General features: G+C 52.1%; 3 protein-coding genes and 1 long non-coding RNA gene across 10 annotated transcripts in view, besides 5 other annotated features; 2 read left to right on the top strand and 2 right to left on the bottom strand.

Moving 5' to 3' along the window:
- Positions 1-12,160, top strand: part of PCID2 (PCI domain containing 2) — a 43,668-nt gene extending 31,508 nt beyond the window's left edge. For 2 of the 3 annotated variants that reach the window (XR_001749631.2, XR_007063691.1), the window contains exons 15-18: positions 1,713-1,784; positions 4,838-5,792; positions 7,074-7,360; positions 11,979-12,160. The gene's annotated coding sequence lies outside the window, so the exon portion shown is untranslated. The remainder of the gene's footprint in view (positions 1-1,712; positions 1,785-4,837; positions 5,793-7,073; positions 7,361-11,978) is intronic. The other variant, XR_007063692.1, reaches the window with a different exon arrangement.
- Positions 3,877-4,377: an enhancer, noted in NCBI's record as "H3K4me1 hESC enhancer chr13:113827099-113827599 (GRCh37/hg19 assembly coordinates)". NCBI's record gives its function as "activates a minimal SCP1, AML or CMV promoter by ChIP-STARR-seq in naive H9 embryonic stem cells {active_cell/tissue: H9 hESC(naive)}" and the evidence as "EXISTENCE:reporter gene assay evidence [ECO:0000049][PMID:30033119]".
- Positions 4,776-18,514, bottom strand: PROZ (protein Z, vitamin K dependent plasma glycoprotein). 5 transcript variants are annotated; one of them, XM_017020813.2, is made up of 10 exons: positions 18,432-18,514; positions 17,898-17,963; positions 16,985-17,148; positions 16,190-16,214; positions 14,040-14,153; positions 12,518-12,649; positions 12,042-12,109; positions 6,632-6,749; positions 5,437-5,568; positions 4,776-5,246 (listed from the first exon to the last, which is right to left on the bottom strand). In XM_017020813.2, the coding sequence occupies exons 1-10, from the start codon at positions 18,499-18,501 to the stop codon at positions 5,131-5,133; spliced, it is 1,005 nt and encodes a 334-aa protein (XP_016876302.1). In that variant the 5' UTR covers positions 18,502-18,514; the 3' UTR covers positions 4,776-5,130. The 5 variants fall into 5 exon arrangements, with proteins under 5 accessions (XP_016876302.1, NP_001243063.1, NP_003882.1 ...); NM_001256134.2 differs by having other exon boundaries at positions 4,776-5,568; NM_003891.3 differs by lacking the exon at positions 17,898-17,963 and having other exon boundaries at positions 4,776-5,568.
- Positions 4,972-5,495: an enhancer, noted in NCBI's record as "H3K4me1 hESC enhancer chr13:113825981-113826504 (GRCh37/hg19 assembly coordinates)". NCBI's record gives its function as "activates a minimal SCP1, AML or CMV promoter by ChIP-STARR-seq in primed H9 embryonic stem cells {active_cell/tissue: H9 hESC(primed)}" and the evidence as "EXISTENCE:reporter gene assay evidence [ECO:0000049][PMID:30033119]".
- Positions 17,300-17,877: an enhancer, noted in NCBI's record as "H3K4me1 hESC enhancer chr13:113813599-113814176 (GRCh37/hg19 assembly coordinates)". NCBI's record gives its function as "activates a minimal SCP1, AML or CMV promoter by ChIP-STARR-seq in primed H9 embryonic stem cells {active_cell/tissue: H9 hESC(primed)}" and the evidence as "EXISTENCE:reporter gene assay evidence [ECO:0000049][PMID:30033119]".
- Positions 18,454-19,031: an enhancer, noted in NCBI's record as "H3K4me1 hESC enhancer chr13:113812445-113813022 (GRCh37/hg19 assembly coordinates)". NCBI's record gives its function as "activates a minimal SCP1, AML or CMV promoter by ChIP-STARR-seq in naive H9 embryonic stem cells {active_cell/tissue: H9 hESC(naive)}" and the evidence as "EXISTENCE:reporter gene assay evidence [ECO:0000049][PMID:30033119]".
- LOC124903216 (uncharacterized) lies at positions 20,552-22,662 on the bottom strand. The gene is made up of 4 exons (XR_007063880.1): positions 22,297-22,662; positions 22,047-22,105; positions 21,282-21,345; positions 20,552-20,632 (listed from the first exon to the last, which is right to left on the bottom strand). It is a non-coding gene; the product is annotated as an uncharacterized LOC124903216 (long non-coding RNA).
- Positions 22,746-22,795: a silencer, noted in NCBI's record as "silent region_5538". NCBI's record gives its function as "represses an Ori minimal core promoter by ATAC-STARR-seq in GM12878 lymphoblastoid cells {active_cell/tissue: GM12878}" and the evidence as "EXISTENCE:reporter gene assay evidence [ECO:0000049][PMID:35858748]".
- Positions 23,176-26,950, top strand: F10-AS2 (F10 antisense RNA 2). The gene is made up of 3 exons (XM_011537532.4): positions 23,176-23,248; positions 23,392-24,018; positions 26,352-26,950. The coding sequence occupies exons 1-3, from the start codon at positions 23,176-23,178 to the stop codon at positions 26,678-26,680; spliced, it is 1,029 nt and encodes a 342-aa protein (XP_011535834.1). The 3' UTR covers positions 26,681-26,950.

Genomic DNA, 27,601 nt, shown 5'->3' with positions numbered 1-27,601 from the left:
CTGTCTCAAAAAAATAAATAAATAAAAATAAAAGTGTAAATACCTCGTGTAGCTTACCGAGTGCTACACTGAGAGTGGAAACTGAAGGGCTGCGTGGACGCTGAGGCATGGCTGCCCCTGAGCGCGTCCCTTCGGCACCACGGCGAGGTTGACAGTCGCTAAGTTGGGCCACTCACATTGGGCTGTTGGGGCTGCCATCACAGAATACCACAGGCAGCTTAAGCAACAGGAATGTATTTCCTCACAGTTCTAGAGGCTGGAGGTCTGACTGAGATGGGGTTGCCAGCACGGTCGGCTTCTGGGGAGGGCTCTCTTCTGAGTTGCACACTTAAGAATAAGGTGGTATTCTTGCTGTGCTAGAGATGGTACAGATAGAGATGACTCTCTCCCTCCTTTTTTGAGACAGGACCTCACTCTGTCACCCAGGCTGGAGTGCGGCAGTGCAGTCAGTGCTTACTGCAGCCTCGACCTCCGAGACTCAAGTGATCTTCCCTCCTCAGCCTCCCAAGTAGCTGGGAGCACAGGTGCATGCCACCACACCCAACTAATTTTTTTATTTTTTGTAGAGACAGCGTCTTGCTAATATTGCACAGGCTGGTCTGGAACGCCTGGGCTAAAGCAATTCCCCCACCTCGGCCTCCCAAAGTGCTGGGGTGACAGGCATGTGCCACCACACCCGGCTCTCTTCCTCTTATAAGGCCACAGTTCTGTTGGGTTAGGACCTCACCCTTATGACCACATTTAGCCTTAGTTACCCCCTGAAGACCTTACCTCCAGATACAGTCACACTGGGGCTAGGACTTCAATGTAAGAAATTTGGGGGACACAGTTTAGTCCCCAGCACTGCCATTTTTCAGACTATGCACATTTCCCCGTTTATAAAAAATTTACTAAAGAAGAACACAAACTATAAGAGCTCATCTTTGCAAAGTTACTGCATTTGAAAGCTGCTTGTTCAAGGAGAGGCTATTCTACAAAGTGTGAATCCCTCTTTCTCTCTCTCCGGGCCGCGCGGCGCAGGACTCACTTTGTGTGGCTCCTTCCTCAGGTTCCCCTGGATGCAGGAGCTGCCCCAGGGCTTCAGCAGCACTCCTTAGCTCGCTCCTACATCTGCAGGTCTGCAGTTTCTTCCGGGCTGGGCGGGGAAGCTTGTGGGCTCTTCTGGGGCCCGAATGGGCCTCTTTGAAGGTGACTCATTCCCGTGTATTGGCCCGGGCTCTCACCTGGAGCTCAGCAGGGCTGTGGGTGGGCTCCCCTGTTTCTCTCCACACGTAGGGAGCTGGATTCTGGGAGCGCAGATCCCAGTAGAGCCAGGGAAGCCAGATCTCTTTTATGCCCTGCTCTCCTAAGTCACACCCGGATTCCAGCCGTGGACTGCCACACGTACACGCGAGAGATGAATGCACGAAGGCAAGCGCCTGTGCCTGTGGAGTTCATGCCAAGGATCCTCTTGACCTACGTAGCTGCTCCCCAGCAGCAGCAAGGTCCTCAGCGCTGGCAGTCGTGACAAGTGCCTCCTATGTCCTGTGGGGCAGACACGGAGCAAACTCATGCCGGCGGAGGCTTTGGGCGCGCATCTGTTTTCTAGCTACCCATGTGTCCAGTGGGGCCCCGTTCTCTTGCAGTGTTGGGTACGGAAATCTGATCTTCCCTGCTGCTCTGCATGGGCCTTGAACATCCTTCAACTTTTGACTTAAATGATTTTCTTGCAGTAATTTGAATATTGGAATTTCTGCCAGCATACCTGAATTTCATTCTGGATGTAATAGCGGTGGAAAGCTCAGGTTTGTCAACATTTCTGGGTAACGTATTGAACCGTCCATAGTGACACCTAAAGTCAAGGATTGATACTTTAAGGTAATTGGATGGTTATTCTTAGCGATGAAAGAAACAACCTCAGTGTAGGTGTCCTTACGTTTACCTCTTGGTGTTCAGGCCTCTGTCAGTTCGTTCTCACGCTGCTATAAAGAACTGCCCGAGACTGGGTAATATGTAAAGGAAAGAGGTTTAATGGACTCACAGTTCCACATGACTCGGGGGACCTCAGGAAACTTACAATCATGGCGGAAGGGGAAGTGAGCATGAGCAAAACTGCCACTTTTAAAACCATCAGCTCTCGTTAGACGCCCTCACTGTCACGAGAACAGCGTGGGGGAGCCGCCCCCGTGATCCAATCACTTCTCCACACGTGGGGATTACAATTCAAGATGGAATTTGGGTGGAGACGCAAAGTCAAGGCCTGTGTCCAGCATGGCAGCATTCAAGTCCACGGGCGTACACATGGGCATGTATCAGTGTGTTTGCATGGATTCAAATATTGGACTTAATAATCTCTGCCCAAGTGTGAACTAGTTTGGCCCTTTTAAAACATCATCACAGGCTGGACGTGGTGGCTCACATTTATGATACCAGCACTTTGGGAGGCTGAGGCCAGTAGATTGCTTGAGCCCTGGAGTTCGAGACCAGCCTGGGCAATATGGCAAAATCCATCTCTGCAGAAAATACAAAAATTAGCTGGGCATGGTGGTCCACACCTGTAGTCAGGAGGCTGAGGTGGGAGGGTCAATTGAGCCCAGGAAGTTGAGCCCACTATGAGCTAGGATCGTGCCCTGCACTCCAGCCTTGGGTGGCAGACAGAGACCCTGTCTCAAAAAACAAGAAAAACAGTCATCATAGCTAGCTTCCCTTTTCTTGAGTTTTACTGTTTTGTTAGATTTGTTTATGGTGTAGTTTCTAAGCATGTCATTAAATGCCAGTAGAGTAGTTACTTCATTTTGAAGGCCCCTCATGTCTCTGCTGACAGTCTGGGCCTGTAGCTTTCTCTGATTGTTCCTGATTTCACAGATTTCACCATTACGGAGGGAGGGTCTTCATATGCTTTGCCTCTGCCCAGCTGTGTTTGAAGTAGGTTTTTTTTTTTTTTTGAGATGGAGTCTCGCTCTGTTGCCCAGGCTGGAGTGCAGTGGCATGATCTCGGTTTACTGCAACCTCTGCCTCCCGGGTTCAAGTGATTCTCCTGCCTCAGCCTCCTCAGTAGCTGGGATTACAGGCGTGAGCCACCACGCTTGGCAAAGATTTTTTTTTTTTTTGTATTTTTAGTAGAGATGGAGTTTCACCATGTTGGTCAGGCTGGTCTCGAACTCCTGACCTCGTGATCCGCCCGCCTCAGCCTCCCAAAGTGCTGGGATTACGGGCGTGAGCTACTGCGCCTGGACTGGAATAGTTTTCAAGCAGGGCTTCCACTCTAGTAAATCCAAATTTGTAATAGAAGTACCAGAAGCAAGATTGCAGACATTTCTGCAGCATTATGTACAGAAAGCCTGCCATGTTCATTAGCTGATTTTAAAATCATTAGTAGGCATTTAAAGCAGTGACTTACTTACCTTATTGTAGTTTGAGAATAATACAACCAAACTTCACTAAGACTTTAAAATTCACCCTAGTGAATTTTAAACTGCCCTCCCCATTAATTTGCCTTAAATTACAGTGTTGCTTTTTGCCAAGGACCTTTCAGAGAAATGGGCCATTTCATCTACAGGTTGGAGAAAAGTTTAATTCTGGGGTTAAAGCGTAAATGAAAGAGAGTGTGCTGAAGAACAGTAAGGCTTAAAAACCCAAGTTATGTGTAAATTGTTCTCAACTCAAGAGAATATTTGTCCACCTACATTTTTAATTCCTCTTTTTAAAAGTCCTCTCTGCTCTTCAACGATGCTCTGCTCTGTGTCACTCAAGGACACTGGTGGAGAAGCAGCTGTGCCCCTTCCTTAACTAAGAGTTAAAATGTGAACATTTATGCCATTTCTGTCCATTTCAGTGCAAATTCAGACCCTGCTAGGAGCTCCAGTCTCCAAGGACGTTTCACTGGGGGCTGGACTGCAGCTCTGTCTTTGGTACTTGCATTGCAGCTGCAGCCTTCATGACAGCAGGTGTTTACTGTGATTCAGCACGTGCTGTCCTGGTCTGTTCTACAAAATACCATGGACTGGGTGATAACAGAAACTCATTTCTCACAGATCTGGGGGCTGGGAAGTTCAAGATCTGGGTGCCGGCAGATTTGGTGTCTGCTGAGGGCTCTCTGTCTCCAGGGTAGCACCTCACTGCAGTGTCCTCGTATGGGAGAAGAGATGGAAGGGGCTGGCAGAGCCCTCATGGCCTAGTCACCTCCCAAGGGCCCCACCTCCCCATATCATCATCTTGGGGTAAGTTCCAATTTTGGAGTTTTGAAGGGACACACACTCCAGCCACAACAGTGCTGGGCGTTGCCCTAGCTGCCCATCAGCCCATTGGTGAGGTGCTGGGATTCTACCCTGGGCGACCCTGAGGCATGAAGAGGTGGAACAGTTGTCCAAGAGCCACCTGGTGGGACGAGCAGAGAGCTGGGTCTCAGTGCTCAGCCCTGACTTCGGGCCCCGGAACCTTCCGTGGGAACCCTCCCAGAGAAGGGCGGGTGCACAACCCCGTGAGACGCCGGCGTGCCTCCTCAGCCTCTCTTGTGCTCTCTGGCCCTTTCCTCTAATGCTGCCTCTCTGGGATACCCACAGGGTCATTCTCCTCCATTGCCAACCTGCTTCTAGTGGCTGCTTCTGCACTGAGCCATGGTCCTCAGTCACAGTGGCAATTGGTAAACCAACAGAGGAGGTCACTTTCTGCTGTAACCGGAGATTGTTGTCGCTTCTGCACCAGAACACACTCACCAGTGTGCAGGCTGGGGTGGCTATTCCCTGAGCACAGGGAACACTGGACTTGGAGAAGGAAAGAATTTCTGGAAACCAGGCTGCTTTATGACTGACAGATTATCTTATTTTATTATTTAACGTATCTCATGTTTTCTTTTAAGGTCTCTATTGAGATAAAGAGTTCCAGGGAAAGAAAGGTCACAGTGCTCGGTAAACAACCCAGCAAACGGCGGCTCTGCTGCTGCGTGGGCCAAGCGGGTGGTCTGGGGCTGTGACGGCCTCTCAGTGTGTGATGAAGTTTCAGCGCCCTCCACAGTGGCAGTGCCAGCTTGGAATCCCGCTTCCGGTTGTGTTGTTCATTCTGGCTAGCTGAGTTTCAGTTAGTTCATGATCTGTTTAAACCAGAGTGAGTACCTGGAGACCTTGGTGACAAGGACCATGTGAGCCTGCCCTCCTACTGGCTGCGAGCCCAGGACCCCCGTGAGAAACCAGGAGCCTCTGTGTTCTCTGGTGACCACACTTCCATCCATCCAGTGCATGGCCGCCACGCTGCTTCTCTCACAGTAGGTCCTGGTGGTGACAGTCACATTCAGGACCTGCCCGCACTCCTCCCCCTCCACAAGTGTGACAGGCCGCGTGGTCAGCGAGTTGCCCAGGTCAGTGCCATTGCGTGCCCAGCCGCTGAGGAGGCCCCTGGTGCGTGGGATGAGGAGGTGCTCAGCGAAGTCTTTCTCAGGGGTGCACACGGGGAGCCCCGCACCTGGGCACTGGATGGGCCACTCCAGCTCCAGCAGTGACAGGTCATTCTCCCCCGCGTCCGCGTCATACCGCATGTGCACATGGACGTGCGTTATCTTGATCATCAGCGGGTCTTGGCTCGTTCTGTTAAAATCTGAAATCATGAACAATCGTCAGTTCTTTACAGTCTGATTTTCAAGGGGACATAATGCTCAAACGAGCTTCTCAGGGAGCCACGTGAGGAGGGAGAGACCGGCCCTGGAGGACCCGCAGGCTCACCGCCCCGTGGTGTGGACACTGTGCCTTTCTGCGGACAGAAAGGCCACTCACAGATTGCACGATTGCAACCAAGTGCCACAGCCTTTAAAAACAGTCAAGGTTAGTTCTTCTGTTTTGGAGTGCAGTGGGGTGTGGTGAAATGATTAAAAAGCAGGAAGCAGTGATGTGGAACGTCTCCAGGCCAGTCAAACATTGGCTGTTGAGAAGTGGTTTTCACGTTATTTTGTTGATTGAAAAATATTTAAGGGCCAGGCACAGTGGCTCACATCTGTAATCCCAGCGCTTCGGGAGGCCGAGGCAGGTCGATCACTTAAGGCCAGGAGTAAAGACCAGCTTTTCCAACATAGCAAAACCCCATTTCTACTAAAAATACAAAAAATTAGTGGGATATGGTGGTGCATGCCTGTAGTCCCAGCTACTCGGGAGGCTGAGGCATGAGAATCGCTTGAACCCAGGAGGCAGAGGTTGCAGTGAGCCTGGATCATGCCACTGCACTCCAGCCTGAGGGATTGAGTGAGACTCTGTCTCAAAAAAAAAAAAGAAAGAAATAGGCACAGATAAGCCGATGAGAAGGCCACTGCCTCAGCCTGAGGTCTCAACTGCTGGGGGATTCGAGCCCCATTCTTCCGATTTTTAGCCAATTATCCATCTCTTATGCCACAACTGCTCAATTTCAGTGGGAAATGAAGTCATCCTTATGTAGGCTGTGATTTCCTCCCTTGCCGAGTGTGAGTTAGCACTTGCCTGTCGCTGGGCCCAGGCTTCTGCTGGTATTTTACATATGCTTCCTGAGTTGATAAGTATCTCAGTTTTATTGACAGTAAATTCAGTTCTATGTTGCATTAGAAACAGTCCAGTTTTAAATTTGTCATTTCATTCTTACATAGGATAGTGTATTTCCAATGTGGTTTTATAAAAACTCATGATAAAATACTTACATGTTTTTACAGTAATATTCCTGTGTAACAGTGAACATTTTGCTGTTGTCAGTACAAAATTTTCCCGTATTATAACACCACCACAGAAGTCTTTTCCTTCGGAATTTGTTAACTTTACCTTTAAAAATCAAAACAGACAATAAATAGCTGGTGACAATTTGCAGGATTAGGGGCAGTAAAGTCTACTGGATAGGGATATGGACCACCCCCCCACCCCCACCCCCACCCCCCGCCAAAGGCAGACAGCCGTATTTGATTCTTGCCCCAGCACTCAAATGGTACAGGATTGTTAACGAATTGTTGACAGTCTAAGCTTTTGTTTGCTTAGGGATTAAATGGGGCCGGCACTTCCCCTTTCGGCCCAGGTGAAGTAACAGTGATCAGATTTACCCTCCCACCTGAAGCAAAAAATTGACAAAATCTATGGAATGATGGTTTTCAGGAATCGTAATCCCCAAGAAACAACGGTCTCAGCTACTGTCCAGAATTTCCATGGTGCAGAGCAGGACGGGGCATCTCAGTTGGAGCCCTGCTGACTCCCTAAATTGAAGAGAGAAAGCTGAGAGCCCAGGGAGGCCACAGTGGCTGGAGTTTGCAGAACAGAGTCCTGCAGAACAGAGTCCGGCAGAGGAGAGAGCTTGGTAGAGAATGCTGGAGGATGGCCACATGCCTAGCAGTTTTCAGCAGAGCAGTGGTGATCACGTGTACATGGAGACTAATTATGGCCGGGTAAGAACCACCCAAGAGTGTGAGAGGGACCTGTGCTAGACACTCACACAAGCTGGGAATAGCAATTGCTTCCACCAGCTGAGTTAAAACATCCCTGACTCAGTGGGGCACGGGGCAGGATGCATAGAAGGGTTTCACTTCAGTAGTCAGAATAACTAGCTCTAGACTTGAGCGCTGCCCTGGTCCTACTGACAAATCTTAAGAGCAATGTGCCAAAGGATGAAAGTATTTCCAACCTAACTGTGTCCTAGGACAATATCCAAGTGTATGTATAGAGCACAAAATATTCAGCACCTAACAGGATAAAATTCACATGTCTGGAAATCCATTACGGCATACAAACAGGAAAATGTGACCCATAATGAGAAGAAAAATATCCCAAAACTGAGTCAGCACTGACAGATATTAGTAGACAAGGACAATTAAACAGTGATTGTAACTGTAGTCCAAATGTTCAAAAAGTTAAGTAGAGACAAAAATACGTATTTTTAAAAACCTAAATTAAATTTTTGGATGACAGCTACAATATATGAGGTTAAACATCCACTGGCCAGGATGAATGGCAGATTAGACATTGCAGAAGAACAGATTGATGACCTTGAAGGCATCACAACAGAAACTATCAAAAGTAAAACACGGAGAGAACGGAGATTTTTGAAAAATGAACAGACCATCTCTGAGCTATGGGATTTCAAACAGCTTAAGATACATGTAATTAGAGTCCCAAAACAGAGCAGGGAGAAGGAGGAGAGAAAAAAAATCTGAAAATAATGGGCCAGGCATGGTGGCTCACGCCTATAATCCCAGCACTTTGGGAGGCTGAGGTGGAAGGATTGCTTGAGCCCAGGAGTTTGAGACCAGCCTGAGCAACATAGCAAGACCCCATCTCTACATGAAATTTAAAAATTAGCTGTGTGTGGTCGTGCACACCTATGGTCCCAGCTACTCAAGACGCTGAGGTGGGAGGATCACCTGAACCCAGGAGGTTGAGGCTGCAGTGAGCCATGATCACACCACTACACTCCAGCCCAGGCAATAGGGCGAGACCCGGTCTCAAAAAAAAGAAAATTATGACCAAATATTTTTCAAATTTGACAAGCGATATTAGCCCACAAATACAAGAATCTCAACAAACCCTATGTGCAAGAAACATGAAAACAATACACAGTATAATTAAATTCAAAATCCATGATAGAGGAAATCTTAGAAAGTTAAAATTAAAAAGCATTTAAAATCTTAAAAGTGCCACAGGTAAGGACATGTGAGGAACAGCAGCAGGGTGATGGGAGCCGTCTTGTGGCACAAGGCAGACAGGAAGGCAGTGGGGCAGGCCCAAGTGCAGAGAGGAGAGGACTGCTGCCAGCCTGGGGCTCTGCGCCAGACGCAATGCCTTTCATAGATGAAGATGAACAAAGACTCCTCCAGACAAACGCAAGAAGGCTTCTTCCCCAGACGCCTCACAGCACAGCAGATATCAAAGGGGCCCTTTAGGCAGGAGGAAAACGATACCAGAGGGAGGCCTGGATTTACACAAAGCAGCAAGGAACACTGGAAAAGGTTATGACATCCCATTAAATATTTATCCGCATTCCACTATATATGTAAGGTTTTTTTCCTTATTCTTTAAACTTCTTTACAGGATACTGTTTAAACAAAAATAATGGAAGTATAGAGTGGCATTTATAACATCTGTAGATGTAAGACCTATGCCAAAACCAGCACCCAGGTCAGGAGGGGAGGAATGGGGCATGATTGCTGTAAGGACTCATGCTACAGCGAGCGGATGTGGCGTCGGCGAAAGTGGAGTGGACTGTGATAGGGTAAAGATGCATTCTCCAAACTGTGAAGCAACCGCCAACAAAGAACCAGAGATGATAAACCAACAAAGGAGAGAAAACAGAATCATAACAATATATAGTTAATCTAACAGAAGGCAGAAAAAGGGGAAAAGAACAGATAAGAAAAATAAAAGATAGCAAGATGATAGCTTTAACCGTAAACATATCGACAATTACAATAAATGTAAAATGGCCTAAATACCCCAATTAAAAGGCAGAGGTTTTTCACACTGGATAAAAATGAAAGCCAATTATATACTACCTATAAAACATGTACCTTATTTATTTTTTAAACATGCACTTTATAAAAATACAAATAGGCTAAAAGTAGAAGATTGGAAAAAGATAAGTCATGCTAACACTAATAATTAGAAAGTAAAGTGTCTATATCAATATCAGACAAAGGGGATTTTAGAGCAAATAATATTACCAGGGATACAAAAGGAGAAAACGAGAAGTTGTTTGAAAGATTAAATGAAATAAAGCATGTGCCCACATAGCACGGGTACTGGCTCTGGAAGTGTTAAGTGTTGCAGTTTTCAACCGTCTAATGCAAAATGCTGAGCCAAGTGAGAAAGTGTTTTTCCAACTTTACCGTGGCGTCGTTCCTGGAACTCTTCATGTGTTTATGAATAATAGCTGCCACTTGTTGAATACCTACCATAAGTCAAGAACGTTATCTGTAATCCTCACTGCACCTCTAGGGGTGAGATCCTCACTTTAAAGGGGATAAAACCAAGTTCGAGAGAAGACGGCACTTGCGCCATCAGTCTGCCAGACTTTTAGTGATACTTCTTCCCTAGGATGTAAGAAACAAGGAAGTTCTAAAGATAATCTTCAACCCTATGTCCTGCTAGGTCACTTAATTATTCTCCTTTTCAAAGTTTGTTTTAGGAAAATTCCATATATTCAGTTAAATAACTTCAGAACAATTTATAATACTGAAGTAAAAAATCTAATAGTATGTAGCCTGCCTAAGTCAGTGTCCTCTGTCTTAAACACACCAGCTGTGTTTAGAGAATGCCTCCTCCCTGGTTATATGGCTCTTAGCCTTGCTGGTATGAGTGCTACGGTTGCAGACTAGAACCGCACCCTCTCTTCCCTTGGGTAAGCTGGGAAGCTGGAGACAGCCTGCAGGTGGTAGAGCCAGACCCTGTCACTACCTATGGAGGACCACTGCACTCTGGGCCTCCCAAGTACCGACCCTCAGCGCACTCATGGGGCAGACAGCGATAGGAAGAACTGTCTTAGAAAGCTTGGGCAGGAAAAGTGATAAAAGATTGAGAGGAAGTTTGCAAAGCTGGTGATAGACCATTCCCGCTTCCATCCCCGCCTTCCATCACTCCGTCTGCTTTGCCTCCCTTCGGTTTCTTCCTCTCCACCTTGGAGCTGGGTGGCTTCAAGTCCTTGAGCTCCATCCTGTTCTCTGCCAGTCCACACAACTGCCAGAATGAGTGGGCTGGGCACAGCTGTCTTGTAAGAGTCGGGTGAAACTGACGGGTGTCACACACAGAAACCTCAGGGGCTTATTACTCACAAGGGGGGCCCCTGAGGCTGTGCCATCCACACGGCAGCCACACTCGGGTACGGAGCATTGTGGACACGAGGGCTGCACCTCAGTGTAAATTCACACCAGATTCCAAAGATTCAGTGTAAAGGAAAAAGGCAAATAACCTCAATAATGTTTATATTCATTACATGGGGAAATAATGACACATATTGGGTTAAATATCCAAATTTCACATGCTTTTACTTACATTATTGTGGCTACTAGAAAATTTTAAATTATGTGGTTTACACTGCATTTCTATTGGACAAGGCTGTTCTGAAGGATATACTCAGGCAGGAGATAATTGTGTTAGAGGCCTGAAAGGCAAGGAAAGTGGAAAATGAGGTAAGTAAATCAAAGCCAGTGTGGGTGGTATAAAACCATAATAACAAAAATCGTAATATCTATTTTGTGAAGATATACAGAAAGCAAGAAAAGAATAAAATACTGGCCAGACAGCAAATGGACCCAGAATGAGGTGCTGGGAATTAGCCTGAGGAGGGAGAAATAGCTGACTACTTGTGCTAAATATGGATGTTTATGTGTCAAGAGTGACCATTAAGTAAACAGAAAGTGAATGATGAGGCCAGGCGTGGTGGCTCACGCCTGTAATCCCAGCACTTTGGGAGGCCAAGGCAGGTGGGTCACTTGAGGTCAGGCATTCGAGACCATCCTGTCCAACATGGTGAAACCCCGTCTCTACTAAAAATATAAAAATCAGCCGGGCGTGGTGGCACATTCCTGTAATCCCAGCTACTCAGGAGGTGGAGGCAGGGAAAGCGCTTGTGCCCAGGAGGCAGAGGTTGCAGTGAGCCGGGACTGGACCACTGCACTCCAGGCTGGGTGACAGATTGAGACTCCATCTCAAAAAAAACAAACCAAAAACAAATGAATGGTTAACTTCTAAACCAGCCAAGGAGGGGAAAAGGAGAACAAAAATGAATGCCAAACTAGAGAAATTTAGTGAACAAAGTAACAAAGCTAGAATGCCAGGCCAGCAGCCGAGAGCAGAGATTTTGAGATGCTTATGTTCTGAGAAAATGACATTGGTAACAGTTTGGAACTGCAGAGGAAAGGTCTTGGGGGCTGTAAATAATGCTGTCCTTTTGTATTAGTTATGAACTCGGCATTAGAACATGGTTGGAAGTGTGAATAGAGGTTGGTCAGTGCAGTCAGTAGCCCATCAAAGTCAGGATGCCTGATTCACTTAGTTGTCAACATTTCTATTTAGGAAATGACAAGTGAGGTGAAAGTCATAACAATAAATTGAAGCACGCGGAGAGCGCTCTGTTACCTGCCACGGGAGGTCCTGTAGATCCGGTGCACGCTTCTCAGAGGTCAGCACCCCGCAGGCACACTGGTCTGCATTTGCGGCAGCAACATGAGAATAAAAATCAGCGCCTTCTCAGCGAATATCGGACTCTGTCTATGGTGTTAACCGTTGCATAATTCCGTCTATGGTACTAACCATTATAATCTTATCCTTAATGCTGATGAATGTGCAGTAATTCACAGACACACAGACTGGAGTTAAACCACCCCTCACAGCACTCATGGTTTAGCTCAGAGTGGTCCGAGCAAGCACTAGTGACAGAAACTGCACTTTCTAGCATGGCCATTGCTCCAGCGTGGAGACGCGGACCACCTTCTGAGTCGTGGCAACTGCTTATCACAAATCCGCGGGCTTCACCCAGTACTACAGAAGGAAGGAGGATGTGGACGGGGTCGCTGGCATTGGAAGCTGGAGGCCGCTGTGGTCTGAGCACTCACCGTGGGGCACACACTGTTTGTGGTCCTCACCAAGCCTGTAGCCCTGAGCACAGCTGCATGTGTAGGATTCCTGTCCTGGGAGGCAGAAGTGTTGACACCCATCAGTCCGCTCTGGGTGACATTCATTTTTAGCTGAAAAGGAAAAAAAAAAAAGGAAATGCTAGCTTGGAAATAGTCATTTTATCACAGCCTTGCACACAGTTCTGTGTGTTGGTCCATGTTCATTTTATCACAGCCTTGCACACAAGAGTTCTGGTGTGTTGGTCCATGTGTTCTCATTCTCTTCAGATCGTTGTCCTCTGTGTCAGTGTTTCCCACATGTCCGTATTTCAGGAATGTGCATGTAGAACAAAGACTCCGTGAGTGAGGCCGGGCGCGGTGGCTCATGCCTGTAATCCCAGCACTTTGGGAGGCCGAGGTGGGCGGATCACGAGGTCAGGAGATCAAGACCAGCCTGGCCAACATGGTGAAACCCCATCTCTACTAAAAATACAAAAATTAGCCAGGCGTGGTGGCGCGTGCCTGTAGTCCCAGTTACTCGGGAGGCTGAGGCAGGAGAATCACTTGAACCCAGGAGGCAAAAGGTTGCAGTGAGCTGACATCGCGTCACTGCACTCCAGCCTGGCGACAGAGCGAGACTCCATCTCAAAAATAAAATAAAAATTAAAAAAAAAAAAAGACTCCATGAGTGATGACACTTCTATTTGTCCTTTTTCCACATGGACTAATCCACGCGCCTGTTTTGTCTGCCGGCTTGCATTGGCTATTCCCTTTAAATTGCTGCTTCTTCAAGGAGGGGACGTGGGATGGGAGGGGGTTAGTGTGACATCGGTGGTGGCTGAGCAGCTGGGATGGGGGCTTTCCACCAAGAGGGAGAAGATTAAGAAAGGGGCACATGGTGGGTGAAGGTCAAAGCCCCCTTTGGTACGTGGTAAATTTGGGGTGTCTGTGAAGGCATTAGCTGGGGCATCAAGGAGGCAGATGGAGCAGAAATCTGGACTTCGGAGGAGAGGGCTCGGCTGGGAGGAAGGTTTTCCCCAGAGAAACGGGCTCCAAGTTGACCAGTGGTGCTGAGAGCGGAGCACGCTTGTTGCTGTAGTTGGCGATGATGGACACTGACATTTGGCGGGTATTTAAGGATATTTGTTTACGTGCTTTGCGTCTTCCCTGTCTGCAGTCTCCCACTGGGAGTCTGGCACTGAGGACGCCTGTGTGTGACCCCCCCAGCCTGTGAGCAGATTGTGAATGGTTGAGGTGGTGGGGGGAGGAGAGGGGCCCCTGCTATGAAAAGTATGGGGGCCTGTCTGGAAGGGGCAGCTCAGAATGCAGCCAGCCCCCGGCGTGGTTTCTGGAGGAGAATCTGGTTGGGATGAGAGGAATCCCCTGGGGTGAGCCAAATCGCGGTTCACACAGGCACCTTCATGGCTACACCTCAGGAGGGGCCCATTGGGACTCTGGCCGAGGATGTGAGGCCCACCTGCCCAGGGAGGCCCTTGGGGGAAGGGGACGGCCGGGGCCTCACCCAGCTCGCAGTTGCTGCCCTCATAGCCGGGGGAGCAGGTGCAGGTGTAGCCCCAGATGCTGTCCTGGCAAGAGCCGTTGTGGAGGCAGGGCTGGGAGATGCACGGGGAGCCGCCTGCAGGAGGAGGATGGGGGTTGGGGTGGTGGTGACAGGAACGGGGACCTGAGCAGGAGGAGGGTGGGGGTGGTGACAGGAATGGGGACCTGAGCAGGAGGAGGATGGAGTGGGGGGTGGCAGCAGGGACGGGGACCTGAGCACCTGAGCAGGAGGAGGGTGGGGTGACAGGAACAGGGACCAGAGCAGGAGGAGGACAGAGTGGAGCAGGGACGGGGACCTGAGCAGGAGGAGGATGGGGGGACGTGGCAGGGACGGGGACCTGAGCAGGAGGAGGATGTGGGGAGGTGGCAGGGACGGGGACCTGAGCAGGAGGAGGATGTGGGGAGGTGGCAGGGACGGGGACCTGAGCAGGAGGAGGATGTGAGGAGGTGGCAGGGACGGGGACCTGAGCAGGAGGAGGATGAGGGGACGTGGCAGGGACGGGGACCTGAGCAGGAGGAGGATGTGGGGAGGTGGCAGGGACGGGGACCTGAGCAGGAGGAGGATGTGGGGAGGTGGCAGGGACGGGGACCTGAGCAGGAGGAGGATGTGGGGAGGTGGCAGGGACGGGGACCTGAGCAGGAGGAGGATGTGGGGAGGTGGCAGGGACGGGGACCTGAGCAGGAGGAGGATGAGGGGACGTGGCAGGGACGGGGACCTGAGCAGGAGGAGGATGTGGGGAGGTGGCAGGGACGGGGACCTGAGCAGGAGGAGGATGTGGGGAGGTGGCAGGGACGGGGACCTGAGCAGGAGGAGGATGTGGGGAGGTGGCAGGGACGGGGACCTGAGCAGGAGGAGGATGGGGGGACGTGGCAGGGACGGGGACCTGAGCAGGAGGAGGATGTGGGGACGTGGCAGGGACGGGGACCTGAGCAGGAGGAGGATGTGGGGACGTGGCAGGGACGGGGACCTGAGCAGGAGGAGGATGGGGGGAGGTGGCAGGGACGAGGACCTGAGCAGGAGGAGGATGTGGGGACGTGGCAGGGACGGGGACCTGAGCAGGAGGAGGATGTGAGGAGGTGGCAGGGACGAGGACCTGAGCAGGAGGAGGATGTGGGGAGGTGGCAGGGACGGGGACCTGAGCAGGAGGAGGATGGGGGGAGGTGGCAGGGACGGGGACCTGAGCAGGAGGAGGATGTGGGGACGTGGCAGGGACGGGGACCTGAGCAGGAGGAGGATGGGGGGACGTGGCAGGGACGGGGACCTGAGCAGGAGGAGGATGTGAGGAGGTGGCAGGGACGGGGACCTGAGCAGGAGGAGGACGGGGGGGCAGGGGGTGGCAGGAATGGGGACTGAGCCTGCTCATGCTGCTCCCCATGCCATCGCCTGGCCCCCAGGACGCTCCCCGCTCCGGATGTAAGGCCTGGCTGCCAGTGCCTCCCACTCTGCTGGGTGCCCTTTCTTCGTCCGCACGCGGTCCCCTCTGTCCCGCCCCATCAGCCCTTCTCCGGCCTTCCCTGCCTCTCCCGCTTCCTTCTGTGCCCAGTTGTCCCCGTGCTTGTCTGGTGGTGGCTGCAGCTCTTTGCTTACTCATTCCCAGGTGGGTCCTTACCCTGGCCTCCCCCAGCCCCGTGGGTCTCCATCTGTGTTACTTCTGTCCCATGCTCTTCTGCAGTTGCCCACCTAGAGCTCCTCCCTTGGGAGGAGTCTCCTAACCAAAGTCTCCATCGGGGCCATGACTTTCCAAAATTTGAGACGAGTTCTGACCCTGCTGCAGCATGAGGCTTCCCAGGAGCCCAGGAGCCAGGCGGCTGGAGGAGCTGCTCTGGGGGGGCCCTCCTGGCCTGTGGCCCATGTCCCAGAGTGCCAAGAAACTACCCAGACACTGGGCAAGACAAACCAGGCACTGCCTGTGGCCCTGGTGGCAGAGCCCGGGGGCTTCCTGACCTGGTCCTTGGGGAGAGTCGGAGCTGCCCTTCCCTGGAGAGACACCGTGGGTCCTGGAGCCAGAGGCTTGGCATCCGCTGAGCTGGGGTCGTGAAGCGTCCTAAGCCCACCCACGCACCTCATCCCGAGGAATTAATACTTCTGAGGAGACGAAGGAAACCACTTACCCTTATATCGTCTCCAGAATTCATCCTTTAGAGTTAAAACATAAAAATGTTACAAATGGGATATTTGTTTTTCTATATTCTTTCCTGTAGATGAACTTGAAGGTAAGAAAATGTTGATTTTATTCACTTAATAGGACAATAGTGGTTGAAACAATGCACAATTTTCCTGTTTTACAGCCTATTTGTTTATGTTAAATGTATAGTAACTAAATGTATCTGTAAGATATATTACTCAACATGTGCTTACCACCACCTATTTGAGGAAGGCCAGAGTCTATGACATGGCACAAACCCACCACCCACAGCCCCTAACGTGGCCCTTCCCTTCTAGGGCCAATCTCCACGCCACCCTCCACAAAAGCACATGATATAGAAGTCACATCACCTTTTCGCTTTTTATAAACCGAGTTGAATTTTAAAGATATATACCTCTGTAGGGAGTGGGGACACTTAGTTTGGGGTAGGAGTATCTAAAATTAGGAGAATTATTCAGACTTGAAGCCTAGAAAGAAAATGTATGCTGGGTGTCTGATCAGTGTGTGGGCCTTGCCTGACCTGAAGAAATGAGTCCAGTGGGCTCTGAGCTGACTTCCAGCCCCACTCACTGCTGTAGGGAAAGGTGGATTAAGTCGATTCTCTAAATTGTTTCCTCATCTGTAAAACTGGGATTGTGTCAACCTCATCGGTAAGTAAATAGGCTAATTAATTAAGCTTAATCTCTGAGAAATGATGCTCCCTGGGCCAGCAGAAGTCTAAATAATGAGGAGGCCTGTGGTTTGTGGTGGGGGTACATACAGTGACTACTTCATTTTCAAACACTTCTCTTGCTTCTTCATAGACACAGATTTCTTCATAACATTCTTTTTCCAAGTTTCCCTCGAAGAGTTCTTCCAGAAGATAGGAGCCCGCACGCTTCCACCTCACCAGAACGTCGTTTGCTTTGGAGGCCGGGAGAAATACTACAGACGAGACAAGAAGGCAGGTGACTGGGAGCACCGAGGGCCCTGCTTTCCAGAGCTGCCTGGCTTCCTCCCCGGCCGGCCGCCAGCCCCAGCCCCGTCCGTCTCCACAGGCTCTCAGCCTGCGAGGGCCTCAGGGCCACCCCGCTACTCCCTCCCCCGAGGTAGGCAAGCACTTCATCCTCTGGGCGAATGGATCAGCCCCAGGATCAGTGCGGATACACTAAGGTTCTGCAGAGAGGCCACGGGCCTCAGTCAGGAAAGTGGAGGAGGGAGGGCTCCAACTGGGTTTTGGGTCTGAGTGCGAAGGAAGGCTGAGCTGGGGTCAAAGGTCCCCGTACTGAGAACTGGGGACCAAGAGCCATCAGCTCCTGTGCTGCCTCTGTGCGCAGCATTTAACATCTTGATAAAACACATAAAGAAGAAACTTATACATTGCAGCAGGCTCTGCGATTTCCAGGAGGAGAAGGCAAATGAGTTGACCCGCGGCAGTGGTCTCTGGAGCCTCTTCCCACCTGAGGGTCCCAAAGCATGTTCTCTCCCTCTCCGGGAGGGTCAAAGCCCAGGCCCTTCCCATCCTCCCTCCTTTTCTCTCGGTGCTGAGGGTTACAGCAGGGGGGGCTCAGCTAAGTCCGGCTACGGTAAGTGCTGGGCAGGGCAGGGCGGGGGGATCACCCTCTCAGGGTGGGAGACCATGGGGCCAGCGGGAGACCATGGGGCCAGCGGGGATGCTGGGTGTTTTGACTTGCAGCTTTCCTGGACGCCTGTGCAGGCAGAGTCAGAATGGAGTCCATGTCGTTCCTTCAGTGAAGTGGCTGGTGGTAGAAGGGTGGCAGGCAGGCAGGGTGGCTGCTCCCTGGCTATGTCTCCTGACTCAAGACTGGGCATTCCTGGCTGGCCTGGCCAAGGCTCTCTCTGCCCACATTGCAGTCTGGGCTCAGCCTGCCCCACCCCCTCCCCTCGTCCAATGCCCAACCCAGGCCTCCCCCCACTCCTCCCCCTTTCCCCCTCCCCTCTCCCCGGCCTTTCCCGGCTGAATCCCCTGCACACAGGCTTCTTTCCATTTGGGCATCTCTTGGGAGGACCCCAAGTGACACTATCATGTCCCAAATACTTGTCACCAAATGATAAAGATCCAAACAGCTTTTTCAGGGGAATTAAGACTAGTCTGGGCACTCAGGGCTCCTCTGGCTCCTGGAAAAAGCCTCATCTACAAATCCACCATGGACCGAGTCAAGAAAGACACAGCACAGGCACAACAGACAGGTAAGCCAGATGCCTACCTGAGGGCTCCACACGATGGAGGGCGAGGACCAGGACCAGGCCCTGGAGCAGTGGGACGCAGCCTGCCATTCCCACCCGGAGCGCTGGGACAGGGCTACAAACACAGCCAAAGTCCAGGCTGGGGGAGGTGCCGGCAGCAGGAGCCTCGGGGCACGACCTGTGCAGCTGTGTGCTTCCCTCCTGACGTTTTCTGTTTGAGGCCAGGCAGAGAAATGAACGGTGAAGGCTCAGAGGACCCTGGGAGATATTTAGGGAGACAGAGAACAGAAGGTAAAGGCAGCAGGTGCAAGGTGGAAGGTGGCACCCATGCCCGTGTGTGGTCAATGGAGGTGAGATAGGCCCTGGGGACACAGCACTGGGCGGGACAGACAAAGTCACATGCAGCTTACGTTCTAGGTGTGTGTGGAATACACAGAAAAGAACGAGGGAAAGAGACAGGAGGGAGTGAGGGAGGGAAAGCAGGAGGATGGAAAGAAGGAAGGGGAGAAAAGGAAGGGAGGGAGGGAGGAGGGAGAAAGCGGGGAAGGGCCAAATAGTGTCTGTCACTACAGCTCAGCACCATTGTAGCAGAGGCAGCATAGACAATCATGAATGAACACTTGGCTGTGTGCCAATAAAGCTTTATTTATAAGAGCTATTAAGGGGCCAGATTTGGCCCCAGGGTTGTCGTTTGCTGCTTTCAGATGTAGGCCCTGTGTATTAGTCCCTTCTTACACTGTTATGAAGAAATAGCCAAGACTGGGTAATTTAAGAAAAGAGGTTTAGTTGACTCCCAGTTCCACATGGCTGGGGAGGCCTCAGGAAACTTATAATTATGGCAGAAGGCACCTCTTCACAGGGTGGCAGCAGAGAGAATGACTGAAGCAGGGGAAATGCCAGATCCTTATAAAACCATCAAATCTCTTGAGACTCACTCACTATCCCAAGAATAGCATGGTGGAAACCACCCCCATGATTCAATTACCTCCCACCGGGTCCCTCCCAGGACACGTGGGGACTATGGGGATTACAATTCAAGATAAGATTTCGGTGGGGACACAGCCAAACCATATCAGCCCTTGAAGCCTGAGGTAAGAACCTGGTGTTTCATTTTCACTGTGTTGGGAAGATATTGGAGGGAACAGGAATTGACATGGAAAGATTTGTGCTCTGAAGGGATCACTGGGCTGCTGTGTGGAGAACAGAACATTCCAGAGAAGTCAAAAGGGAGGCTGCCGGCTAGTCCAGGAGGGGGTGAGGGTGCAGCCATGCAGCAGGAAGCACGTTTGCAGTCTGGATGCTTCAGGAAGGGAAAGCTGATGGGATTCATGATGAATTGTGTCGGGCAGCACGGCTCCAAGGTTTGGGCTGAGCGATTGGGAGGATGGCAGTGCGTGTGCTGAGACGGCCAAGCTCCAGGAGGGCAGAGGGAAGCGAGGTTTGGCAAATTTGAGGTGTCTGTGGGATGTCCAGGTGGAGACAGGAGTGGGCATCCGAGAAGCTGGGACTCACAGTGGAGATTCAGGTGGTAACAGATGAAATGACAGCATTGTCAGCATATAGATATTGTTCGATTGAATGACACTCAAAGGTGGCAAAACTCAATGAAAGGATTCTAAATACAATTTTGTTAAAGTGGGAACAGAAGAAAACTAAGAAGCTGACACCCTTGATTAAGAGGGCATGCCCGCAAATACACTGAAGTTGTGAAGTTTGCTTTAAAAAGCTGGGAAAAGAAAATAAAGTTTATCTTTAGTGAGTGAGTTAAAATAATTTGAAAGCCAGAAGTTGATTGTATAGGATAGCTCTTGGGTGAATTGCACCAGCCTGGCAATCTACGTGGCCTTCACTTAAGAAAAGGTGCCTTTTTTTGTGTGAAAATGTATTCCCACATGGAAATTTACATTAAAAATACTTCTGCTGGATAGTTTAAAAACCATCAATAGCTGCCTAAAAATGGAAAGGCAGACAGGGACATACACATTCGATCAATAAGTGTTAATTAAGCACATCCTATATGCCTGACATGGGTATCTGAGCTACAACCTCTTCCCTCATGGACCATTTTAGTCTGTTGGGGCTGCTGTAACAAAACACCTTAGAGTGGGTAATTTACGATAAACAGAAACGTAGTGCTCACAGTTCTGGAGGATGGGAAGTCCAAGATCAAGGCTCCAGTAGACTCAGTGTCTGGTGACGGCCCATGATTCATAGACGTGTCCTTGGATGGTGGAAGGGAGGAATGTGGGTGCTCCCTGGAGCCTCTTTTGGGAGGGCAGTCATCCATCCATGAAGGCAGAGTGCCTCCCAGAGGCCCCACCTCCTAGTACTATTGCACAGGGGGTTAGGTTTCAACGTGAGTTTTGGGGGATGGTTTGGCTCTGTGTCCCCAACCAAATCTCACCTTGAATTGTAATAATCCCCACAGGTCAAGGGCAGGACCAGGTGGAGGTGATTGAATCATGGAGGTGGTTCTTGTGATAGTGAGTGCATTCTCACAAGAGCTAATGATTTTATAAGGGGCTTCCCCCTGTGATTGACACACATTTTCTCTCTCCTGCCACCCTGTGAAGAGGTGCCTGCTTGCCATGATTATGTTTCCTGAGGCCTCCCCAGCCATGTGGAACTGTGAGTTCATTAAACCGCTTTTCTTTATAAATTACCTAGTCTCAAGTATTTCTTCACAGTGACATGAGAACAGACTAATACAGGAAGGCATCAACATCGAGGCCACAGCTGTGATTGACTGTGTTGTACGTGGACTGACCGTGTTGTATGTGGTGATTTAATTTTCTCATCTGCCTTCTCAAAGATACCACCTTTGGACCAAAAATTCTACAATAATAAATTGTCCAAACATTAAGATTCACCTCGTTCTACTCATCTTCCTCATCTCTCATATGAATAATCGTTCTTCTGTCACCCTCTTCTGTTCTGAAAAACAAACCAACCAACATTGGGACACTTTTTCCATTGACTGGTTTACTTTCCTTCTGTATACCTGAGGAGAATCTTCCTTCCTTTGGGGTCTTTGTCGTGTCCTTCAGATGTTGGGGTGTCCTCTGTGGGGGTCCCCAGCTTAAATCAACTGACCCCACAACTTTGTGTGGAACCTGAAATGAGCAGCCTATGGAGAACCTGGTCATTGAATACTTAGATCTTGCCGCAGTCCCTATTTAAATACCTGTTCAATCAACTCTGGGACCTATGTTTTAGATTTCAACATCTCTGAATTGGCCTGTTCCCTACAGCCAATGTTCTAATGTCAGCCTGGACAAGGCCGAGTTCTTCCTGAAAGGGGTTGTGCTTTATGTTGCCCCCTGGGGGCACTGCCACTTTGCAATCCCTTTAAATACATTTTTTTGTGTGAGTTTTGGGAGCCCATGTGAATAGTGTAAATGTATTGCAAAGCTGGTTCCTGGCTGGCCTGTGGTTTAGATTATCTGAGCTTCCCCCTCTTGCCTCCAGGCTGAGCTGACCCACAGCTAATTTGGGTATATGCTCTTTCTTTCAGGTTCATCAATAATGGTGCGTCTTAGATTCACAGAGTAGAGTGTGGTCTAGTCCACTTTGTGGTGCTGTAACAGGATATCTGAGACTGGGTAATTTATAAAGAACAGAAATTTATTTCTTACAGTTCTGGAGGCTGGGACATCAAAGGTCCAGGGGCCCCCATCTGGCGAGGGCCTTCTTGCTGCGTCATCCCATGGTGGAAGGTGGATGCGCGTGAGAGAGAGAGAGAGAGAGAGAGAGAGAGAGAGAAAGGGGAGAGAGGAAGGGGGCCAAACTCATCCTTTTATTCCAAAATAACGAACCCACTCCTACAATAGTGGTATCAATTCATTCACGTGGGCTCTGACAATGAATGCGTCTTAAAGGTCCCACCTCTCAACACTGTTGCCTTGGGATTAAGTTTCCAACACGTGCACTATAGGGACACATTCAAACCACAGCATGCTGCATCCTCTGATGTCCACATTGTGGATGGAGGTGGCAGCTTATCACCTGGAGCTCCTGAAGAAATTAAAGAGGAGACACATGGTGACGCAGCCCACAGCCTGGCGTTTTTAGCATCTCAGAAGCACTGACAGGGACCCGCAAGCTTATGAGAAACTGTTCAACTCATTGGGCTTCCTCAGAGCTTGGGAGACCATTAATGTGGAAGACACTATCTGGACATGTTTCTCTTTTTTCCACCTGTCTAGATTTTCTTTCAGGATCGGGGAGACTTCTGGAGTAGAAAAGCCACTCCAGAACCCTTCCTCCTCCTCCCCCACACCCCGCCTCATGAGCGGCTGCCCTCCGCGTGGCATGGAGTCCCCGCGTCCACTCAGAACCCTTCCTCCTCCTCCCCCGCGCCCCGCCTCCCCCGCGCCCCGCCTCCCCCGCGCCCCGCCTCCCCCGCGCCCCGCCTCCCCCGCGCCCCGCCTCCCCCGCGCCCCGCCTCCCCCGCGCCCTGCGTCACGTGCCCCTGCCCTCCCCGACGCCCCGCCCCCCACGCCCCTCCTCCCCCACGGCCCGCCCCCCCACGCCCCTCCTCCCCCACGGCCCGCCCCCCCACGCCCCTCCTCCCCCGCGCCCCGCCTCCCCCGCGCCCCGCCTCCCCCACGCCCTGCGTCACGTGCCCCTGCCCTCCCCCACGCCCCGCCCCCCACGCCCCGCCCCCACGCCCCGCCTCCCCCACGCCCCGCCCCCCGCGCCCCGCCTCCTCCACGCCCCGCCTCCCCCACGCCCTGCGTCACGTGCCCCTGCCCTCCGCGCAGCATGGAGTCCCTGCGTCCCGGCTCCACGGTGCGGGAGTCCTCCGTGGTGGCTGAATTCGCCTTTCAGGCCCTATGTTCAGGATTTGTGATCTGGGTTTTAAAAACATTTTTTAGAAGTCATTGGTAATTAAAAACAATAAGTTTTTTATTGTGGTAAAATAGACATACAGTTTACCGCAGGAATCTTTTTTTAAGCGTACAGTTGGCTGACCCTGAGTGAATTCGCTGTTGATAATCTGCTTCTCCCTGAGCTGCTGTCGCCCACACTCGCCGCTGGCCGTGCTTGTTTTTCTCCTGGAACTGGGGCCGGTGTCCCTGTTGACCTTGTCCCGGGTAGCTGAGCCCAGGGGACTCTCCTTCCTAGGGTTACCGCTCAGTATCAGCACAGCCACAACGTCCAGCCAGGGAGGGCATCCGAGGCCCTCAGCACCCACCCCGGGGGTCCGGCCCGCGTCAGGCTGCGAGTTCCCGAGTCCCTGGACCCAGCTGTGCCTGCTGGGGTCAGCGCAGTCTGTGAGCCTCGACCCCCAGCTCCCAGCAAGGCCTCCCAGCAAGGCCTGTCGGAACCCAGCGGAGACCGGCGGCTGGGGCTTGTCCTCGAGCGGGGGCGCAGGACACGGGGCGCGGGGCTCCTGCCCTTGCAGCGTCCTGTCAGGATGGACGACCCAAGCCAGACGGCGCTCCCTCCCGCCACACCTGGCCGTACTGGCCTCCAGCCATGCCGGTGCTGCCGAGGCCCCCGTGTGGGACAGGCCCCCGCTCCCGCCCGTCCTCCTGGCTGCATCTGCACCCGCCCGTACCCGCACCGGGCCTCACTGGCCCCTTCTCAGACCGGCACAGCCAGGTAGGTCCTCCCTAAGCACCACAGGTCGGGGCGGCTGGGCGTTTTGTAAGGACAAACTGCGACCGTGAACCCCGGGACGGCTCAGCACCCAGGCAGCGCGGCCTCTGAACGCTGTCTGCGGACTCGTCTCTCCTCCCCACTGGCCCGGCCACACGTCCATCCAGCCCCGCTGTCTCCCTCTTTCTGTGTCTGTCTCTCCGCCCTCTTTGTGTCTTGGTGTCTCCTCTCTCTCTCCCTCTCCCTGTCTGTCTCTCAGCATCTCTCTCTGTCTCTGTCTCCTGTGTCTCACTGTGTCTTTCTCTGTGTCTCCATGTCTCTGTTTCTCTCTTGTTCTATTCTCAATTTTTTTGTTTGTTTTTTACCTGGACTTACTCCCTCCCCTCTGTTTCTCTTTCTCTGTCTCTCTCTTTCTCTTTGTCTCTGTCTCTCTCTTTCTCTCTGTCTCTGTCTCTCTCTTTCTCTCTGTCTCTGTCTCTCTCTTTCTCTCTGTCTCTGTCTCTCTCTTTCTCTCTGTCTCTGTCTCTCTTTCTTTTTGTCTCTCTGGCTCTGCCTCTCTCCCTCTCCCCTCGCCCCCGCTGAGCGCTGTCTGACGGGAACCCCCAGCAGTCTCCCTCGCTCTCCTGGCAGCCTGCAGACTCCTCTGGTCTCACTGACTGCAGAGTCACTGGCTGTTTCTGGTCTTTGCTGACGCTGACGTTTTTTAAGAGTCTATGGTTTCCTCCATCTGGACTTGCCTGACTCAGGATCGGGCTCTGCTTAGACAGTGTTTTGGCAGCCCCCTGCCTTCGGCTCAGGAGGAGGCTGGGTCCCCAGGTTTTGCCACGCTAAAGGCATGCTTTCCTGGCATAGTTAACAGGCCAGTTCTGAGGTGATCCTCTGAGTCTCGAGGGTGTCCAGTTTCTCAGTGCCCTTCCACCAAGGTGGGGTCTTCATGGCGGGCGCTTGCCCACATCAGTGGCTACCCCGTGGCTGTGGAGTGGGGTCCTTCTAAACGGGAGCTTAACCCCCAGCCCTGCTGAGATGGCTCCATGACAGTGATGGTGGGGCCGAGGTCTGCCGTCCACCAGCTGTCCTGGCTGAAGCTCTCATTCCTGCTTCCTCTTCCTCACAGCCTGGGCTGCGTGTTCCCAGACGGCAGGCCCATCTCCCCATCCAAGCGCAGCTCTGGACCCACACAGGCTGGTCTCCCAGCACCCACAAGGGCCTCCCTGCCCCACCAGGCCCCCGACACCCGCTCTCACCTTCGTCCTCCAGAGGTGGACGCCCCAAAGCTCCCCTTCCTGCTCAGGGGGAGGGGAGGTGTCACTGGGGGAGGCGATGGGGCTGCTGCAGGTTCTCTCTCCCTCACTCTCAGGCGGAATCACTTCTCCCACCTTCGCTCCCCACCGTGACCTCCTGCTGCTCTCGGTCCTCAGGGTCTCACCTCTGTTCTCTCTCCCTCACTCTCAGGCGGAATCACTTTTCCCATCTTTACTCCCCACCGTGACCTCCTGCTGCTCTCGGTCCTCAGGGTCTCACCTCTGTTCTCTCTCCCTCACTCTCAGGCGGAATCACTTTTCCCATCTTTACTCCCCACCGTGACCTCCTGCTGCTCTCGGTCCTCAGGGTCTCACCTCTGTTCTCTCTCCCTCACTCTCAGGCGGAATCACTTTTCCCATCTTTACTCCCCACCGTGACCTCCTGCTGCTCACAGTCCTCAGGGTCTCACCTGGGTTCTCTCTCCCTCAGTCTCAGGCGGAATCACTTTTCCCGTTTTTGCTCCCCACCATGACCTCCTGCTGCTCTCGGTCCTCAGGGTCTCACCTCGCACAAACAGCCGCTTCAGTTATTTCCCGAAACAGAGCTGGGCCTCCCTCAGGGAATTCTGGGGGTCTCAGATCACAAAGTGTCCCCTGGCCCAGGCCTAGACTATTCTGAGTTAACACGGAGATGACATAGGTTTAGCCCACTTGCCTTTACTTATGAAGACGATATTTAGGCAGAGAGAAAATCCCTGCCACGCAGCACAGGAGCCTGCAGAGCCGAGACTTCAACCCCCAGCGCGTGTCCAGGACTGGGGCCTCTCCTCCTGCTGTCTCCCTCCCGAGGCTCCCTCCCACACCTCCCAGGACGAGAACCTATTTCTAGATGGGGCTTCGGCAGATGCTGAGCTACGACCCATCAGGTCCTTCTCTCTGCAGCCTCCAGTTTCCTTTCTATCCTGAGACGGGCACGGGCACCAGACACCCAGTGCGGCAGGAACCAGGGTGCAGACAGTGATGGCGATGGGGGGTTTCAATTGTAATTATTTTCCCAGAGTTCTCTCTGGACCCCACTCAACCTTTGATTTCCAGAAACGGGAATCCAAGTCCAGGGTTTACCTCTGGGGCCCTGGGGACCACGTGGCTGCCTAGGAAACGCAGCCCAACAGCAGGCTAGCTCCGAGGCAGAAGCCTTTTCTCCAGGAAGGGCCGGCGAGGAGCCCGACAGCCAGCTCCACGGAGAAGGCCTCAGAGCGGGCAGGCCAGGAATGCCCTCCCGCCCACCCTGGGAGACCGGCCCCTCCTCAGACCGTTTCTGGGAGGTCGAACACCTGTCCACTTTGATTTTCCCTGACTTCGCAACATCTGTTTACGAACGGTTTTGCCCAGCTCATGACTTTTTTGGGGAGTTTTTGTACTAGAACTGTTGAACTTTGCTTAGGGACATTACACAAGACGCAAACTGCAGGAGACGTTTGGGAGACACACGGCAGGCCTTGTCCGGAATCTTTTCTGTTTACCGAAAGTTCATTTGATTTTCATGGCCAGTTAACTTGAGGCCTAGGGACAGTGCCGGATTGCAGCAGGGCAAGGACTAAACATCTGGACCCTAGGAGAGGAGGAGCCCCCCGAAGCCCCGCCTGCCACGCCACCACCACTCAGCACCTGAGGAGCTCCAGAAGCTTCCAGAAGCTCCTGGCCAGCTTCACTCCAGAGACTGATTTCAGTGGCCAGGCTGTGGCCTGGATGCAGGCATGCTAAAGCCCACAGGGGGTTCTAAGGGTGGCCACGGTGGGGGCCAACTGTGCCAGGTCAGGTCGCTGCCTGGTGAGCAGGTCACCTGCCCGGGGGATGCCTGTGGCCCCCACCACACAAGCCTGAGCTGGGGTGGGGCCTGGCACCGTGCAGTTGAAGAGCACCTGGTTGTTTAAGTTAATGTAAAATGTCCGCCCCAATGAGAAGCTTTCTGGACGTTTCCCTCCCAGGGAGTCTGCGGGTCATAGGCAGTCACCGGGGAGGTGTCCAATTCCCAAGAGGAACAAGAGAGACCAGGCCAAGTGGGGGGTCTTGGGGAGGCTGCGCCAACGTGTGGGCCCCTCCCGACGCCACGGGGCCTGCACAGGCTCCCATCTGCCTCTGGGCGTGACCCAGATGCAGGAAGGTATCTGGGGAAAGGAATGCCCATGGCAGTCATGGCACAGTATCATCCCTGGAGCCTCCATCCTGCCCCCACAGACTAGAATATTCCCTGGAGGAATCCCCAGCCTAGCTGGGAAGGGCGGAAGCTGGTGTTCCAGACAGACACTTCACCTTCCCACCTCAACAGGGCGGGAGAAGCCAGG

The sequence above is a fragment of the Homo sapiens genome, chromosome 13, assembly GCF_000001405.40.
Source record: "Homo sapiens chromosome 13, GRCh38.p14 Primary Assembly".
Lineage (NCBI taxonomy): Eukaryota > Metazoa > Chordata > Mammalia > Primates > Hominidae > Homo > Homo sapiens.
Note: the sequence above shows the minus strand (reverse complement) of the source record. Positions and strands in the feature narration are given on the sequence as shown.

What these genes read in the sequence shown, in the direction of transcription:
- F10-AS2 (XM_011537532.4), top strand. Translation starts at nt 23,176, where the DNA reads ATGGAGTCCCTGCGTCCCGGCTCCACGGTGCGGGAGTCCTCCGTGGTG. An exon ending in ATTCGCCTTTCAGGCCCTAT is followed by an intron (nt 23,249 to 23,391) that starts GTTCAGGATTTG and finishes GCTGACCCTGAG; the next exon opens with TGAATTCGCTGTTGATAATC. An exon ending in TCTCAGACCGGCACAGCCAG is followed by an intron (nt 24,019 to 26,351) that starts GTAGGTCCTCCC and finishes TTTGATTTCCAG; the next exon opens with AAACGGGAATCCAAGTCCAG.
- PROZ (NM_001256134.2), bottom strand. Translation starts at nt 18,501, where the DNA reads ATGGCAGGCTGCGTCCCACTGCTCCAGGGCCTGGTCCTGGTCCTCGCC. An exon ending in CAAACAGTGTGTGCCCCACG is followed by an intron (nt 12,110 to 12,517) that starts GTGAGTGCTCAG and finishes CCGCAAATGCAG; the next exon opens with ACCAGTGTGCCTGCGGGGTG. An exon ending in TACAGGACCTCCCGTGGCAG is followed by an intron (nt 6,750 to 12,041) that starts GTAACAGAGCGC and finishes TGATTTTTAAAG; the next exon opens with GTAAAGTTAACAAATTCCGA.